We start from the raw sequence: 19,062 nt of genomic DNA on the forward strand, positions 1-19,062 counted from the left end.
TTGCCAAGGAAGAAGGCTTTAATCAGGTGCTGCAGCCAAGGAGATGAGAGCTCAGCCTCAAATCTATCTCCCTGACTAAAACTAGGGGTTTATGTTACCAGGGAAGAAATGTAACAATGTGTAAGAAAACAAGGACTACAGAGGGGCAAGGAGGCATCTGGTGCAGTGATCTGGTGAGTTTCAGTTCTCTGATACTTTTTTTAAAGGTCCTTTCCTGAGGAAGGAACTCAGATAAAACTAATACAAGTTTCAAGCTTTAACAGCAGAAGGATCAATTTCTATGTTCCTCCAAAAGAACAGTCTGTGGGAGTCTTGGGCCAGTTTCCGTGCTCACTTTCTATTTGTCAATTGCTCAATCATGAGGAATCTGGCTGTCGATCTTCCTGGCTGCTTCATGCTGAGGAGGGGTGTCATAGGCAGCTCCATACCATGAGTGACCATGTGGCCACTGAGGAATCAAAGATTAAGCTAATATAGAGTTTTCTTCTGAAACACAATCTTTCTGTCTCCAGTCTGCCACTTCCACCAAAGACGAATCACAGCAGGACCAATCTACCTGCAAGATAGGCTTCGGTCCCGTATGCTTGACCTGATTATCTACACGAAGTGCAGCAAGAATCATTGCCAACATAAGCTCTCCAAAATTGGCTTTGCTGGAACCTATCATAAGGCCATTTCAGTCAAAGCACTGGGAAAATAACCAGTTCCTCCAAGTGTGTCCCATTACAAAAGAAAACAGGTTCTTATTAAATGTATGAAAAGAAACACATTGCCATGAATTAAGAATATTCGGCTGGGCACGGTGGCTCATGCCTGTAATCCTGGCACTTTGGGAGGCCAAGGCAGGCAGATGACGAGGTCAGGAGATCGAGACCATTCTGGCTAACATGGTGAAACCCCGTCTCTACTAAAAATACAAAAAAATCAGCTGGGTGTGGTGGCAGGCACCTGTAGTCCCAGCTACTCGGGAGGCTGAGGCAGGAGAATGGCATGAACCCAGGAGGCAGAGCTTGCAGTGAGCCGAGATCACGCCACTGCAGTCCAGCCTGGGTGACAGAGTGAGACTCTGTCTCAAAAAAAAAAAAAAAAAAAAAAAGTACAAAGAAAGCCGAGCACGGTGGCTCATGCCTGTAGTCCCAGCACTTTGGGAGGCAGAGGCAGGTGGATCATGAGGTCAGGAGATCGAGACCATCCTGGCTAACATGGTGAAACCCCATCTCTACTAAAAATTTAAAAAAAAAATCAGCCGGGCATGGTAGTGGGCCCCTGTAGTCCCAGCTACTTGGGAGGCTGAGGCAGGAGAATGTTGTGAACCCAGGAGGCAGAGCTTGCAGTGAGCCGAGATCATGCCACTGCACTCCAGCCTGGGCAACAGAGCAAGACTCCATCTCAAGGACAAAAAAAAAAAAAGAATATTCACAAATAGTTTCCATATTCTGGAGAAATTAGGCAGCGAGAGAAACATGTTTCAAATTCTGCTTACAAAAGTATACTCAATACACTTAAAGTATATTTCAAGGATATAAATAACTCAAAAGAAAAAAATTCTCCAGACTCTGAAAAACAAAAGGAATCGGCAATATTTCAAACAACAAAAGCCATTAAAAAATTATTTCAGTCCCTTATTAGTTCAGTCCATGCAATCAACTCCTGCTCTGCCTCATATTGGGATATGAACACATTAGCCTTTCAATAAGGGCCCTGAAAGTTTTCTCTCTAATCCAATGGCACAATCTCCAAAGTTATCAGAAACCTGCTTTCAAGAGTGCAGTGTGGCACCATCTTGGCTCACTGCAACCTCCACCTCCTGGGTTCAAGAGATTCTCGTGTCTCAGCCTCCCAAGTAGCTGGGAGGCATACAACACCACACCCACCTAATTTTTGTATTTTTAGTAGAGACAGGGTTTCGCCATGTTGGCCAGTGTGGTCTTGAACTCCTGGCCTCAAGTGATCCACTACTTCAGTCTCCCAAAGTGCTGAGATTACAGGCATGAGCCCCCATGCCTGGTCCCAATTTTCTATTAAAGAGCAGATCAATACTCCAAGACAACCCTGTCATTCCAAAACATGGGCCCAGACGCTGGCCTTGCATCACTGTCCTGAGGATTTGACTGGAATCAATGCTGAAAATTTATTGGGTTGGTGCCTTCTTGAGGCTCAAGAGTCAAAGCCCTGTAACTTAACAGCACAAACATTAATTAATAGGATATTTATACTACAGAAAGTCCTGTCGTTTTCTCTAACATGTTACAAATTAAAACACTGTGATTTGGTGTTTAGGAATAACTGCCTGCAGTATTTCAAACCAGGGTATTAAAGTAGTTAGGTTACTCATTGCATATGTCTAATTGCTAGTATTCTAGTGACAGAACTGTGACCCAAAGTATCAAAAATGTGATAAGCCCTATGCCAAACTTATCAAACTAAGACAACTTTTTCCTCTATCATTGAAATATGGTAAATGCAAATATCAGTTTTGGAAATTCAATATGAGAAATAATCTCCTTTCACTTAAATACTGAGAGGTGAAGCTGGCTGGGCTTCTGGGTCGGGTGGGGACTTGGAGAACTTTTCTGTCTAGCTAGAGGATTGTAAACACACCAATCAGCGCTCTATGTCTAGCTAAAGGTTTGTAAATGCACCCATCAGCACTCTGTAAAAATGTACCAATCAGCACTCTGTCAAAACACACCAATCAGTGTTTGTGTCTAGCTAAAGGTTTGTAAATGCACCAATCAGCACTCTGTAAAAATGGACCAATCAGTGCTCTGTAAAATGGACCGATCAGTAGGATGTGGGTGGGGCCAAATAAGAGAATAAATGCTGGCCACCCGAGCCAGCAGTGGCAACCCGCTTGGGTCCCGTTGTGCACTGTGGAAACTATGTTCTTTCACTCTTCACAATAAATTTCTGCTGCTCACTCTTTGGGTCCGCACTACCTTTAAGCGCTGTAACACTCACTGCAAAGGTCTGCAGCTTCACTCCTGAAGTCAGGGAGATCACGAACCCACTGGGAGGAACAAACAACTCTAGACGCACCACCTTTAAGAGCTGTAACACTCACTGCAAAGGTCTGCGGCTTCACTTCTGAAGTCAGCAAGACGACAAACCCACCAGAAGGAAGAAACAACTCTGGACATGCCACCTTTAAGAGGTGTAATGCTCACTGCGAAGGTCTGCAGCTTCACTCCTGAAGTCAAGCGAGAACACGAACCCACCAGAAGAAAGAAACTCTGGACACATCTGAATATTGGAAGGAACAAACTCCAGACACACCATCTTTAAGAGCTGTAGGCCAGGTGTGGTGGCTCATGCCTGTAATACCAGCACTTTGGGAGGCCGAGGCAGGCGGATCATGAGGTCAGGAGATTGAGACCATCCTGGCTAACACAGTGAAACTCCATCTCTACTAAAAATACAAGAAATTAGCCAGGCGTGGTGGTGGGTGCCTGTGGTCCCAGCTGCTCGGGAGGCTGAGGCAGGAGAATGGCGTGAACCCGGGAGGCAGAGCTTGTAGTGAGCTGAGATTGCACCACTGCACTCCAGCCTGGGCAACAGAGCGAGATTCCATCAAAAACAAAAAAAACAAAAAAAAAAACAGAACTGTAACACTCACCGCAAGGGTCCGTGGCTTCATTCTTGAAGTCAGTGAGACCAAGAACCCACCGGAAGGAACCAATTCTGGACACAATACTATACAACAAAACAAGGACAAAGTAAGAACAAGTACAAAACAATTTCTTTTCAGCTATTTTAAAAGCACATCATCACACTTCCAAGACTGGTTTCCAGACACAGTACTGACAACTGATTAGGTAACTTTTACTGCCAAAATCTTCAAACCAGTGCAACACTTGCACATATTTTGTTTTCAAGTTACACACATGAAGGTCAATCAGTGATAAACTACTTGAGATAAAAACAAAATCACTAGAAAATATCACCTTTTTTTTATTACTACTTAATCCAAGTGAATGTCACTTTAAATTCATTTGAGAGAAATTCTAATCAATATAATTTTCTTAAGGACAAGGCCAATCTTTCCTGAACATTAAAACTTTGTATCCATATCACAGTTTTTCTTCATTAAAGGAAATGATCTGAAATCAACCCAAACTATTGATTCAGTTGACTCACCCTGGAAACAAACACCATGCAAACAGTTCCACTCTTATCCACCTCTCCAAACAACAAAATATATAATGTACTATTTCTGTTCAGAACTTAAAAAAATAAGTCTTTTGTTTTTTAGCTCTAGATCATCAGAGGCAAGCAAAACCAACCAAATTCCAAATGGCTGGTGTGCTCCATCAATTCCTGCAGGCCCAACAAAGGTAGCCTAGGAATTCCAGATAAACAGAATAAATGATGACTTCCTAGAAATGCACAGAAAACAAAATAACTATTCACAGAACAAAGTAAAAGCCTTCCACTAGAAACTAAAAACCATACATTGTTTTATATATATATACATACACAAGCAAAACGCAAAGCAGAACAAACAGCAAACAAATGAAAATTAGAAGCAAAAACAAACAGGAAACCAACCCCAACCTTTCCTCAACTTAGTCTACCCTGGAGGCTACCATGCTATCCAGAGCCCAAAAAAAAAAACACGTGATGAATATTTTATTCCTCATACACAATTCAGTATCCTTAAGTCCACCAATATCACCATACATCCTGTGAAATCAAGAAATTCACTCTAGGCACATGACCAGTAAGTACTCTAGCACCAGCACTATTCATGCAAAACAGCAAACCTAGTGTGAAGCAATGCAGGCAGGTATGTGAGATTTGGTGCAACACTAAATCTGGCTTCATACTTAACTGTATTAAAAAAGAATTGCCAAACTGCTAATGTATTTCTGTGCAATATTTATTATTTTACCTTCATCAAGATGAAGAGCTTTAACTATGAAAATGTTAAGTACTATGAAAATGTTAAGTATCCAAATTTCTCCAATTCTCTACCAGGTTTTAAAGAACATTTTATTATCTAAATTTCTTCAACTTATTTTTATTATTTTTTTTTTTTTTGAGAGAGAGAGTCTCGCTCTTGTCACCCAGGCTGGAGTGCAATGGTGCAATCTCAGCTCGCTGCAACCTCCACCTCCCGGGTTCAAGCAATTCTCCTGCCTCAGCCTCCTGAGTAGCTGGGATTACAGGCACTCACCACCACGCCTGGCTAATTTTTGTATTTTTAGTAGAGACAGGGTTTCACCATGCTGGCCAGGCTGGTCTCAAACTCCTAACCTCAGGTGATCCACCCATGTCAGCCTCCCAAAGAGCTGGGATTAGAGGCATGAGCCACTGCACCCAGCCAAAACTTTTTCAACTTTCTATTTTTCTCTGCATGTGCAGAGAAACAAGAAAAACTACATACAACTTACACAGACTATGCACTACATGCCTGGGCTTTCCATCCAGTCCCAGATTTTTTTCTTCTTGTTTTTACTTTAAATAACCAGTCATTTTACTCCAACACAAAAAATTCACCACACAAGATCCTTTCTCATACAAAATTATTATCTTTTCTTTACAATCTTCTTTGCCAAAAATACATCTTCATATCCATGACTTTATTCACACCTCTCTCCCTTACTTACTGGTTCCTTACTACTTTGTTTCATAAATAATCATTTTCAAGTCCATAATTTGAATTAACTTTACTTTTAGATAACTTCTGAATTAGACATAATTATTCTTTTTCTCACTAAATAGCACATTTGTGGCACATTTTATAGACATAATTATATATTAACTATAATTCTTATCCTTGGTAACCTTAAATTTTAGTGAAACCCTAAGAAGCAATAAATCCTGAACTATCAGATATGAGCATTTTATAGCTGAGAACCATTCCACAATTTCTAGAAACATATTTCCCCATATCATAACCCTTTCTTAACTGAAAATGACCCAGATGTCAATGAGCATCAAAAATAATTTTAAGATTTAAAATTACACAAAAAGTTTACCTAAAACATTTATCCCATTTACATGTATTCAATTCTTTCATTTTTAACAGTTTATCTAGATTACTTCTGAAAACAGTTATTAAACACCATCATTTAAAGTTGGTTATTTCCTTGTTAACCAGTTTTTTTCTTTTTTCTTTTTCTTCCTTTTTTTTTTTTTTTTTTTTTTTGTTTGTTTGAGATGGAGTCTCACCCTGTCACCCAGGCTGGAGTGCAGTGGTGCAGTCTCAACTCACTGCAACCTCTGCCTCCTGGGTTCAAGCAATTCTCCTGCCTCAGCCTCCCAAGTAGCTGGGATTACAGACATGCACCAGCGCACCCAGCTAATTTGTATTTTTAGTAGAGATGGGATTTCACCACATTGGCCAGGCTGGTCTCAAACTCCTGACCTCAAGTGATCTGCCTGCTTCAGCCTCCCAAAGTGCTGGGATTACAGGCATGAGCCACCACACCCAGCCTAACCAGTTTTTTCATAGCCAGTGAACTTCAGGTGCTCACTTAAGAGCCTCCAAGTTAAGGGCCGGGCACGGTGGCTCACGCCTGTAATCCCAGCACTTTGGGAGTCCAAGGCGGGTGGATCACGAGATCAGGAAATCGAGACCATCCTGGATAACACAGTGAAACTCCATCTCTACTAAAAATACAAAAAATTAGCCGAGTGTGGTGGTGGGCGCCTGTGATCCCAGCTACTCGGGAGGCTGAGGCAGGAGAATGGTGTGAACCCGGGAGGCAGAGCTTGCAGTGAGCCGAGATCACGCCACTGCACTCCAGCCTGGGCGACAGAGCGAGACTCTGTCTCAAAAAAAAAAAAAAAAAAGCCTCCAAGTTAAAAACATAGGTATTTTAACTAATAACTCAGAAATTCAGCTGTTTTCATTAAACCAACAACATTCATTAGTCTTACTTATCAAAAAATTTGCACAAAGATCATTTGGTTTGGGCTGGGTTTATAGTTTTATAACCTTCTATGCCAAACTCTGACGCCTCAAACTATGTAACAGAGACAAATATAAAATCCAGACAGAAATGTATGCTGACAATTCTGAAGACATTTATATTTTCATTTTACCAATAATTTTAAAACCAGTGTGTTTAGTAAAGATTTACTTAAGTCATGTGAACTTGAAAATTGCTTAGACTTATTTGCTTAATTTATGAGTGCTCTTATAAGCCAACACAACATATAACAGTAAGTGTACATACAAATAAACACATCTAGGTATGTAGACACATACACAAGCGAAAATTCAATAGCTTATACCTTGGAACTTTACCCATGCCATAGCAATACAAACTCACCGGCTTTACATGGTTACACTTTGTTTGCCCTGATAGGTAATCCAACAAAGGCTATGAGCCAAAATTTTGGGTAAAGCAGTTTTCATGGCAGTTTGATTTTTAAGGGCCAAACCTCCCCAGACTCCAAAGAACACTGGGGCTAAACAGCACCAAAGGAAAACATTACATATTAACTAGGCCCGACTCTGCTTAAAACAGCAGAACAAAAGCCTGGATACATGCAACTCCATCCCACGTTCCCATTCAACAGCAAACTCCAGATTCCAAACAATTTTGGGGCCAAAGAGTATTGCAAAAGATTACCAAATTAAATTCTAATTCCTCATGCCTATATCAAATACACACAATCACCAGAACACTATCCAACTACTGCAGCAACAGACAAGCCCTTAGTGTCCAAACTGAAAAGTCAGGGTGCTTCCTCTCTCTTCTGTGTTTGGGCTTGATCAACCAGCAAATGGGAATTCCTTAAGGAATTTCCCAAATTGAGAGGAGCTGACCCCGCCATCTGCTACCCAAAAAAGACGCTCACTTGCCGGGACATAACACACAAGTACAAACAAGTCCCCAAGAGTGTCCATCCTGAAACAGTCATGGTGCTTCCCTCTCGGTCAGTTGGGCTTGTTCCGTCTACAAATGGAAATTCCTTTAAAAATTTCCCAGATTGAGAGGAGCAGATCCTGCTGTCTGGACCCACAAAGGACACTCACCTATCTAGGTGCCTAGCTTGAGTCGGAGGCTCTGTCTAATCAACTATAGCTGCAGTGGTGGGTCAGAAAACATAATCTGGTCGTTGGGATTCTTCCTTGCAGTGAGGATGGTCATGGTGAATGGGACCAATACTCCAAAAGATGTCTATCTCAGGGAACTGTCACTCACTGAGAAGGGAGTGGGTGCCTGGAGGCATTGGAAGCCTGTAGGTGCTATGCCTTATGCCCATTGTTCCCTGAGACTGTCCTCAGGACGGAAAGAACAGTGCCTCTCCACTTAACACTATATCTCCAGCACCCCCACAACACCTGGTCCACAGGAGGGATACGATCAGTGGATGCTGAATGGATTCATTCTTTTTTTTTTTTTTTTTTTTAAGACGTAGTCTTGCTCTGTTGCCCAGGCTGGAGTGCAGTGGCTCGATCTCAGCTTACTGCAACCTCCACCTCCTGGGTTCAAGCGATTATCCCGTCTCAACCGCCTGAGTAGCTGGGATTACAGGCATGTGCCACCACACCTGGCAAATTTTTTATATTTTTATTAGAGATGAGGTTTCACCATGTTGTCCGGGCTGGTCTTGAACTCCTGACCTCAAGTGATCTGCCCACCTCAGCCTCCCAAAGTGCTGGGATTATAGCTGTGAGCCACCGTGCCCGGCCTAATTATATTATTTAATCCCCTTACAACTATATAAACTAAGTTCTGTCATCCCCATCTTACAAATGAAAGAGACTGAGACACAAGGAGGTTAAGCAATTTTTCTCCGGTTACACAGCTAGAGCTGGGGCTTGAACCTTCAAGATCAATCTAGCTCCAAATCCAGTGTTCTTTCCACCATTTATTCATTCAACAAACATTTATTGAGCACCTACTCTATGCCAGTCCTATTCCAGGAGGTAGGGATAGGACAGTAAACACACACAAATCTTTCCTTCATAAAGCTTACAATCTAGGAGACAACATTTCAGATTGATAAGACAGATATATAGCATGTCAGAGTGATAGTGCTGAGGAGAAACATAAGGAAATAAAACACAAGGGCAGGGGATAGGAAGTACTGGGAGGTTGCAATTTGAGATGAGGTGGCCAACAAGTCTCCCTGAGAAGATGCCATTTGAGAACATTCCTGAAGGAGGGAGGGAGGGAGGGAGCCATGTGGGTCAGAAGCATTCCAGGCAGATGGAGCTGCTGGTGCAGAGGCTCTGAGGCAATAGGAATGAAGCCAGAGAGGGCCTTATGGCGGTGGGAGGACTCTGTTCCTCTGAGGAAGGCGGGCTGCTGGAGGGACTCTGCACCTCCTAACTGAATCACTCGGGCCACTGGGTTGAGAACAGCCTGTGGTGGGAACATGGCAGAAGCTGGGAGACAGCCCCACAGCCTCTGTGTTCTCCCCACAGTACTCCCATTCACCACCTTCTTGTGGATCTGCGGGTGGTTCGTCCGCACCTTCCGCTTTGTGCCCACGGCCACCTCCTCCTCCTGACCTTCACCGTCACCAATCTGAATTACCCCAACAACCTCTGCTTTGGGGACAGAGTTCAACAGCCCTGTGAAGAGCCTGCCTTTCCACTTGACTCCAAGTTACTTGATAAGACCCAGAACTAGAATAGAGACTTGCCCAATCAATGTTTAAACCAACGAAGCTTTTAGGTGTTGTTTCTCCCATCCAAAAATTTCCCTTCAAACCCCTAAGGGAAGGGGTAAAGGAAGGAAAATTTCATGGGTCCCCTGCTGCAGCTCTGCCTGGGACAGCTGGCCCATGGGTCTGGCTGGGACTGGACCTGGGGACCAGGGTGGGTAAATAAATGTCAGATGTGTGCAAGAGGAATCTGCAGCCAGCAAGCCCTGTTGGGCCCCTGGCTCCCCTGCTCCTCTGAGTCAAGCCCCTTTATTATAAAGGGGATACCTTTATAATGCTTTGCAAATTGGCAGGATGAACACCTGCAATGCCACACCACTGTCTCCCCACCCCACTCCGCCCAACCATCCTCCTGATCCAGACTGCACTGACCTTTTTCTGAGGGAAAGGACATCTAAAGCCATGCCATCCAGTAAGGACACAGCCACATGACAGATGTGGTGCCTGGGCATTTGCAGTGTGGCTGGGATAAATGAGATGCTCTGTAAGTATAAAATAATACCTACCAAATTTTCAAGACTTTTGGTTCACGCCTGTAATCTCAGCACTTTGGGAAGCCAAGGCAGGAGGATCGCTTGAACCCAGGAGTTTGAGAACAGCCTGGACAACATAGCGAGACCCCCATCTCTATTTTTAAAAATAAAAATAAAATACCCTGTACAAAATAAAACTGTAAAATAGCTCATCAATAACATATATAAAAATGTGTTTTGGAATTAAAATGTATTAATTTAAATGTATTAATCTCATGGGTTTCTTTTTCATTTTTGAATGCAGCTATTAGAAAAGTTTATATATGTAGCTCACGCTATATTTCTTTTTTCTTCCCCGTGCCCCAGCCCCCGCCCGCAGACGGAGCCTTGCTCTGTCACCCAGGTTGGAGTGCGATGGCACAATCTCGCCTCACTGAACCTCTGCCTCCCAAGTTCAAGCAATTTTCCTGCCTCAGCCTCCTGAGTAGCTGGGATTACAGGGGCCTGCCACCATGCCTGGCTAATTTTTGTATTTTTAGTAGAGACGAGGTTTCACCACGTTGGCCAGGCTGCTCTTGAACTCCTGACCTCGTGATCCGCCCACCTCAGCCTCCCAAAGTGCTGGGATTACAGGCGTGAGGCACCATGCCCGGCGGCTCAGGCTATATTTCTAGCGGACAGGGCTGTTCTAGAATTATGACTGGCCTCCAGTCATCTCCGCAGAACAAAGCAAAGAGATGCGAAAGCAGGTCGAGCACCATTATTTTGTGAACTGATAATAACAAGATAAGGGTGATCTTGTTTTTCTTTTCTAGTTCATACACATCAGGAGGAGAAAGCAAGAGACATCACAGGGGCTGATCCAGGAGATGAGGGACAGCCTACAACAGCTCCAGCCAGCCTGCCCTTCACCAGTCCGGAGGGTGGTGTGTGTGTGGTGCCAGATTTGCCTATTAGAAGCTCCCACCATGTCCCTATTAAACTTTAGAACCCTCCATGGGCCCCTTACACAGCCCAAGTGCCTCACTATGGGCCTTCAAGACCCTGAACAGCCTGAGCCAAACTTGTCTTTCCAGCTTCCTCTCACATGCTTCCTGCTCAAAACCCCCACAGCTGTCAGTTCATGCTATCATTTAGTCTGCTAATCAATCATTCAACAAATATGTATTGATTACGTCCTACATACTAGCTACTGAGGTCATGATGATTAGCAAAAGAGGCACTGTCCGTCTGCTTGCTGGGGACCACACATCTAGCAGGGAATGACAGGTAAATACATAATAGGCAATTAAGCATATTGCAGTAAGAGTAGTTGTTGGGGAAGCACAGGGGCCATGGGTGCACCAAAGAGGCACCTCTAAACCAGCCTGCAAGTCAGGGAAGGCTTCCTGGAGGAGGTGGCATCTCAGTTGAAGAATGCAAGTTGCCCAGACTGAGGCTGGGGAGTGGCAAATATCCCAGGCAAGGGAGAACTCTTGAGTTCAAAAACTGGAAGGGCAGAGAGGAGGGCAGGGTGCCAGTGGCAAATGACTGGCCTGGTGTATATGGCAGGGGCTTTATGAGCCTTGTGAAGGAGTGTGGCATTTCTTCTGAAGTGTTTATTCTGGGAGTTCCTGTCTCCTGCCTGAAAGGCCTTCACCCCTCCTCCCTGTTCACTCAAATCCTGCTTCCCCAGTAGGATCCAGTCTGTGGGGCTCATTTGAGGGAGAATGAGCACGGGGCTTTTGGAGGCTGCAGCCTAGGGCCAAGGGATGGAGGTACTGGGGCTGTGTTTGGGGGTCCGCTGATGTTGGAATTTGGGGCTAAAGCTGGGTTTGAGGTTGGCGTTGGGTTTGGGGGCTGGATTCAGGAACAGGAGTCGAGGTTCGGGCTGAGCGTGAGGTTGGGATCTAGGACCTTAGTCCAGAATTTGAGTTGGAGTTAGGAGTTGGGGGCTGAGGTTTCTAGCCAGATTAGGGGTTGGATTTGGAGTTGGGACTGGAATTGAATTTGGAAATGGGGCTGGGGGTTGGGGCTGAGATGTGACGCAGGAGCTGGGGCAGGGGTGGAAGCTGGGAGTTCTAGCTAGGGTTTGCAGCTGCAGCTAGAGTTAGGGGTTGGTTTTGAAGCTGGAGCTAAAGCTAAATCGGGGTCGGAGCTGTGGAATGGGTTGGCGCCCAGGCTCTGGGGCAGATAGACGACATTCCTCCTGCTGCCCAGGTCTGCGAATTGTGTTCCGAGCCCTAACTGCAGCGGACAGAAGCCCCTCCCTTCACAGGAATGCCTCAGCCCAGCAGAAGGAGCAGTGCCACGTCAGCCAATCGGCTCAGGCCCTGCCCTGGAAACGACACCTGTTCATCCTCCTCCCGGCAGGCTCACCTGAGTGCAGGTTAGGCAGGTGAAGTGTCTCCCCGGAAACCAAGCTAGAGTGCCCCACCTGCTCGGCCCTGCCTTCTCGGATCGGATCCAGCACATCCAGGCTTCTCGTGAGTTCCCCCATTGTCCCCCAACGCCCCACCGCCCCCATGTTCTCCCACTCGCTTCTCCCCTGAGAACCTCCACCCCGCCCCCAGCCTGACACCCGTTGTCTCAGCACACCTGTGCAAGCATTTTCAGACCAACGAAGTCACAGCCCAGGGGAATGCTGGGACTGACTCCACGGCCACGCCCACCTCCCCCACTTCCTTGAGAGCATCGGCACCAGCCCCCGCCCACCTCGGGGGTAGGGGTCAGCCTCTGCAGAGGAGTCTCCGGGAGGACAGATACCTCGTCAGGATGTAACCTGTGCACGGCCACATAGTAATATTCCCAGAATGACCCAGGACCTACGTCTTCTGCCCTGTCCTGCCTTGGAGGGGTAACATCGTTTTCATGTATTCAAAAAGCACGCTTTGAGCATCTATGCAGGCTCTAGGCCCCACTGGAATTCTGAAACGAAGATGTCAGGTGACTCATCCCCACCCCTCAAGATAAATGTTATTGTCTTCACTTTTCAGACAAGGAGACTGAGGCTCTAAGAGACGAACCATTCAGGCTTCCTGGCCCCTCCCCCAGACCCCTCTCCTGGGCTCTGCAGGGCTCTGGGCTGACTAACCCACACCCACACTTAGCACAGGCACTGGCCTGCTTGCTTCTGTCTCTGTCTTCTGCTGCAGACTGGGGCTCCTTGAAGGCAGGGACCTCATGTGCTTTATTTTTGCCCAATGTGAGACATGCTTTCCTCTGGAGGACAGGTTAAATCAGCAGCCACTGTTAGGTGCCTGGCCATGTTCCTACCGGTGGGAAGGACTGGAGCTGGGGTTCAAATCCAGAGCCCTCCTTTTTCCTTTGCTCCACTTTAGAGAAATCGTGGAGGAGGATGGCATGGGGGAATGGCGAGTGTGGAGAAGAGCAAGGGGAGCAGAAAGACCAGTGAGGAGGTGGAGGCGGGAGCCAAGGATACGAGAGCAGGGAACTGGCTAGAGAAATGTTTAGAGGTGGAGCCCCAGGGACAGGACGTGGATTAGATACAGCAGAGGGAGGAGGAGCTGGCTGAGAGGGCAGTGATGCCATGCCTGAAGTGAGGAACGCAGAAGGAACAGGTTGGAGTAAGACAACGAGCTTGGGTTGGGACCTGTTGCATCACAGGGACATCAAGGTGACAATTGACTCAGGACGGAGATGTAGGTTGGAGAGAGGAATTTGGGAACTGGCAGCTTATATTACCAAACTCATGGCTGTGAGATTGGATGGGATGTTAGGGGAGGGAGGGTGTTAGGGGTCTGGTCCTAACCCACAGAGAAGGAGGAGACACAGCCCTAAAAGAGAAGTGTCAAGGTCAGTCAGGCTTCTGGTTCCAGAAGGGTTAAGTCATAAGCGCCCCCTCCATCCCCACAGCTCCTCCCGAGGAACCAGTGGTGACAGCTGAGGCCATGTGAGTAGGATCCTGAATGAGGCTTTATCTCTGGCTGTTCGTCCCATCGTCCACCGTGGCACCAGCTCCCTCAGCCAGCCGGGATGGGACCAGCGACTGAGAGAGCCAGAGGCAGAGAGGTCAGGGCCTGGGTGAGGGGATTCCCTGGAGGGTTTTAGGGGGTACCCTATGGGCAGGGTACTCCCCTGGGGTCATTGGAGAGCCATTCCCAAGGGACAGTACTGCAGAGGGGGCTATCCCAGGGGAGATTCGGGGGAACACTGGGGTGGATTCTCAGGGATCATCCCCAAGGCTCCCAGGTGGGACCGTGGGGGACAGGTGGGCTGGGAAGGTAAGACTGTGATCCTTCCCCTACAGGTGAGGGTGACCATATCCTGGACTGTGAGAGGAATGGGACTCTGGGCCTGTAGCTGCCAAGCAGGTGGCAGGTGCTCCAGGCTGTGATCTGAACCCTCTGACCCCTGACATTGACCTCCTACCCTGACCCCTGCCTGACCAAGCCATGTCTGAACAGGAGGCTCAAGCCCCAGGGGGCCGGGGGCTGCCCCCGGACATGCTGGCAGAGCAGGTGGAGCTGTGGTGGTCCCAGCAGCCGCGGCGCTCGGCGCTCTGCTTCGTCGTGGCCGTGGGCCTCGTGGCAGGCTGTGGCGCGGGCGGCGTGGCACTGCTGTCAACCACCAGCAGCCGCTCAGGTGAATGGCGGCTAGCAACGGGCACTGTGCTCTGTTTGCTGGCTCTGCTGGTTCTGGTGAAACAGCTGATGAGCTCGGCTGTGCAGGACATGAACTGCATCCGCCAGGCCCACCATGTGGCCCTGCTGCGCAGTGGTGGAGGGGCCGACGCCCTCGTGGTGCTGCTCAGTGGCCTCGTGCTGCTGGTCACCGGCCTGACCCTGGCCGGGCTGGCCGCCGCCCCTGCCCCTGCTCGGCCGCTGGCCGCCATGCTGTCTGTGGGCATTGCTCTGGCTGCCTTGGGCTCGCTTTTGCTGCTGGGCCTGCTGCTGTATCAAGTGGGTGTGAGCGGACACTGCCCCTCCATCTGTATGGCCACTCCCTCCACCCACAGTGGCCATGGCGGCCATGGCAGCATCTTCAGCATCTCAGGACAGTTGTCTGCTGGCCGGCGTCACGAGACCACATCCAGCATTGCCAGCCTCATCTGACGGAGCCAGAGCCGTCCTTCTTCTCACAGCGGCCTCAGCGTCCCCAGAGCCGAGCCAGGGTGTGAGTGCATGTGAACGTTGAGTACACATGAGTGCGTGTATGCCCCCAGGCTGGGTCAGCTCTTCTGTGGATTGCATGGCGTGTGATTAAAAGCCCATGTGTTCCCACACATCCACATCATGGGAAGGTTAATGTGTGCCTCCTTGGAACTGGGTGTTGGTGTCCATGGAACTTCCTCTCTGTATCTCAGGTCAGTAGGCGCAGAAACGCCTCATGATGAAGATTCTTGAGCCCCATTTCCAAGACCCCTCACATCCAATCCTGTCCTGTAACATCCATCAAGGATTTCCATAGGGGTGACTGGTGCCCACCCAAGACTGCACCAGTGCCTGCTCATTGAGGAGAGTAACTGCTGGCCAGGCAGAAAGAATATGGGCTCTGCAATGAGACAGACCTGGAGGGGACTCTCCCGTTGAGCACTAGCAGCTGGAGGAGTTGGGAGTTCATGGCTATCATGGTTGTGTTAATCGATTGTGGGGATGAAATGTCATTGTGTATGGAAGGCGGGGCTCATGGCTGATTGGCAATAAAATGGCGGCTGCCGTTGTCATTGTCTCCATCTCAGGATCTCACCTCAGAGACCCTTCCTCCCCTACCCCAAGCCCCGCCCCATCCAAAGCAAACTCCTCACTCCTATCTCAGCCTCATAAACCGTGCCTTGAGGGTCTCCTCAGTCAGGCCTGTGGTTTCTCCTCTTAGGTAGGGAGAGGACGGAGTGGATGCCAGCCTTGGGAAGGTGGTCGGTTTCCAGTCCCAGGGAGAGGTGAGGGACCTGAGTCCTTCGCATTTGCTCACATGCTAGTTCAATATGAGGCCTTAAGTGTTTGGTGTTATCAGCTGGTTTCTCTGGCAACTGCACCTCCCTTCGGTTGTGCCTCTTCAGCGGATTCCCTGAGGGTGGTTGGGAGGCTACATCTCCCTGCCCCACCTCTGAAACCAGAACATCCCACGTCTGGGCAGTGGCTGCACCAGCTGGCCTGCTCTAGGTTCCTGGGCATGGGAGAGGTGTTTCAAATCCCCTAGGGTGGTGAGAGTCACTTCCTGCTTGGAGTCAGCCCTGGGAGGATCTCCCCTCTGTAGCATGCAGTGCCATTTCCTGGCTGATGGTGAGCCACGGGAAGCAGCACTCAAGTGTTTCATCACTTCCTGCTTCTCGAGGTGCAGACTGCATGAAGCCCGTGGAAGATGCCCAGAAAAGCAGGGAAATGAGACCTGTCTCCAAAGAAACGTTACAGTAGAACTACAGAGGCTCTGACAACAAAAAGTTGGCTTTCAGCAGAAAAGGTCAAGGATGTCTCCTGGAGAAAACACGGGGCTGACAGATGAGGGGAAGAGTGTTGCCAGTGGAGGGAGGGAACAGCGTGAACAGACCTGGGAGAGAAAGACAAGGCGTGTCCCAGAACGCCAAGGACAACAGAAATGGCTCCCCTGGGTGCTCCAAGGGTGCCTCATACCCACCATATTCAAAACTGACCCTGCTCCTCTCATCTTGAATGAGCTCCTCTCTCTCACCCGGAGGTGCCACGCTCAGGGGGCATCTAGAGTAGAGACTCGGTGCAATGCTAGTTGGCACCGTCACTGTCTCCTCACCCAAGTCCACTGACAAATCACCAACTCCTCTGGTTTCCCTCACACAGATTTGTCTGACAATCCATATCTTCATGCTCACTGCCCAGAAGGGACCCTCTTCATTCCTGCCTGAGTGGCACATCGGCCTCCTCCTCTCTCCCTGCTTCTGCTCTTTTCTCTTCATTCCCCTTCCCCCTGCCATGCACACACACATCCCTTGAGCCAGAGTGATCATCCTAAAGCTAAAACGAAAATCTGCCTCAGAGCCTGTCTGTGGCTGCCCATACCTCAGCCTTCCCAAGTGCTGGGATTATAGGCGTGAGCCACCACACCCAGCCGACATAGAGTAGGTTCTTTATTGGATGGATGAAGGACTCCGGCATGGCCAGATGGCAATGAGTGTGCAAGGAGCAAGGAGAGACCCACCTATAGCTGGGAGGGGATAGGGAAGGTAGGCCACTGCCCCTGTTGGCCCTGAATCTGTCCCTCCCAAAGCCCCCTGCTCTCTACCTCAGTTCTCACTCTTCCTGAGTTCCCAAGGGCAATCTATCACTATGACCCACTCCTGGCCTGATATGGGACTACAGAATGTCCTGCTTTCCTGTAATATGGGGAGAAATACCCTTTCCTTTCATCTGAGACAGGGTTAGACTCTTTTGCAATTCTCACATTATTTCTTTTCTTTTGAGATCAAGTCTCACTCTGTCACCCAGGCTGGAGTGCAGTGGCGTGATCTCTGCTCACTGCAACCTCTGCCTCGCAGGTTCAAGCGATTCTCATGCCTCACCCTCTCGAGTAGCTGGGACTACAGGCGCATGCCATCTTGCCCGGCTATTTACAATATTTCTTTTAAGAAACTAAAGAAAAAACAGAAGCCCAGAGGCTTAGAAAATGGGGAAAGAGAGGGTTACCTGGCATAAGCATCTGACTGAGCAGCTGCCGTGGGTGAGTGGGTGAGCACCAGGCTCTCCTGGGAAGGACGGGAGATGGAGACTAGGGCTCATGGCCCCAGGGCACTGATCCCATAGGGTAATGGACACCCAACTGTAACAGGAGACAGGTGATGGTACCAGCTAGGTAAAGCACGGGCAGGGAAGAAATGTGTCTACCTCCTCAATCACTGAAGTAGGCTTCCCACAACCTCTTGCCTGCAGCCTGCTCAAATCATTTCACTGAATACTTTCTTTGCCTCCATTGCAACCAGAAGCCCACTGGCATCTCCGTTCTCCCTCTGTAAAGCTGCTGCCTCCTGACTTCACTGCCCCCTCCTGCCCACCCCCTTACCATCTAGTTAAGGTTCTGTGGCCATCATTTCACCTGCTCTTTGAGGGACTTGTCAAGTCCTTAGCCCTCTGCCCTTGGGTCCCACCCTCCCAGCCAAACCCCCTCCATAGACAAATCCATCCATCTGCCTTGGATGCGCCCGCCCCACTGTGAGTGGCCATTAGAGAAATCTGTACAGCCAGACAGCCTGCTGTCACTGCGAACTCCTCTATCAAGTTCTCAGCTGAGGCCAGGCACGGTGGCTCACGCCTGTAATCCCCGCACTTTTGGAAGCTGAGGCGGGTGGATTGCTTGAGCCCAGGAGCTCAAGACCAGCCTGGGTAACATGGCAAAAACCCCGTCTCTACCAAAAATACAAAAAAGAAGTTCTCAGCTGAATCTGCACTGCGGCTCCTCAGTGACACTGCCTTTTCCTGGTTGGCTCCTGCTCCTACCGTGACTCTGAAGTTCTCTCCACCCTCTTCACCACCCCCAACCCCCACATCCTCCCACCCCAAACACCACTCTCAGCAAAAGACAGCCTCCTCTCTTCATGAGAAGGCGAGAGCCCGTGACAGGAGCCCCTCACCACGGCCCCCACCAAATCTATCCTCACTTACTCCTACTTGTCCAATGGCCTTGGCAGCCCAGCAGAGGAATTTGGACTTTGTCCTCAGGACACTGGAAAACATGGAAAGACTTTCGCCAGGGGAGTAGGGTACTGTGGCCAGAATAGGATTTGGGACTTGCTGGCTGCGGTGTGGAGCCAGGGATTGGCCTTAGAAGAAAAAGAATGAGAAGAAATGGCCAAACAGCCCGTCTCGGCTGGCCACTGAGGGACGAGAAGAAGTTGGCCCAGCTAGAGAGGTTAGGAAGAGTATCCCAGAAAGAAGGAATAGCACAAAGAAGGGTCCAGACCTGGAAATCTAAACTGGCATTGGATGAAGGAAAAATCCAAAACAAGGGCTGATGGAGAGACAGCACAGCCTTGTCTGGACCTAGAGGCTCCCAT

General features: G+C 48.4%; 1 protein-coding gene across 5 annotated transcripts, besides 1 other annotated feature; it reads left to right on the plus strand.

Moving 5' to 3' along the window:
• Positions 11,389 to 11,892: an enhancer, noted in NCBI's record as "NANOG-H3K27ac-H3K4me1 hESC enhancer chr1:43735285-43735788 (GRCh37/hg19 assembly coordinates)". NCBI's record gives its function as "activates a minimal SCP1, AML or CMV promoter by ChIP-STARR-seq in primed H9 embryonic stem cells {active_cell/tissue: H9 hESC(primed)}" and the evidence as "EXISTENCE:reporter gene assay evidence [ECO:0000049][PMID:30033119]".
• Positions 11,758 to 15,777, plus strand: TMEM125 (transmembrane protein 125). 5 transcript variants are annotated; one of them, XM_011540705.3, is made up of 4 exons: positions 11,758 to 11,860; positions 12,303 to 12,568; positions 13,959 to 14,114; positions 14,353 to 15,777. In XM_011540705.3, the coding sequence occupies exon 4, from the start codon at positions 14,498 to 14,500 to the stop codon at positions 15,155 to 15,157; it is 660 nt and encodes a 219-aa protein (XP_011539007.1). In that variant the 5' UTR covers positions 11,758 to 11,860; positions 12,303 to 12,568; positions 13,959 to 14,114; positions 14,353 to 14,497; the 3' UTR covers positions 15,158 to 15,777. The 5 variants fall into 5 exon arrangements, with proteins under 5 accessions (XP_011539007.1, XP_047301911.1, NP_001307173.1 ...); XM_047445955.1 differs by having other exon boundaries at positions 12,361 to 13,028; NM_001320244.2 differs by having other exon boundaries at positions 12,361 to 12,568.
• The last annotated feature ends 3,285 nt before the right edge of the window (positions 15,778 to 19,062 follow it).

Source organism: Homo sapiens, chromosome 1 (genome assembly GCF_000001405.40).
Source record: "Homo sapiens chromosome 1, GRCh38.p14 Primary Assembly".
Lineage (NCBI taxonomy): Eukaryota > Metazoa > Chordata > Mammalia > Primates > Hominidae > Homo > Homo sapiens.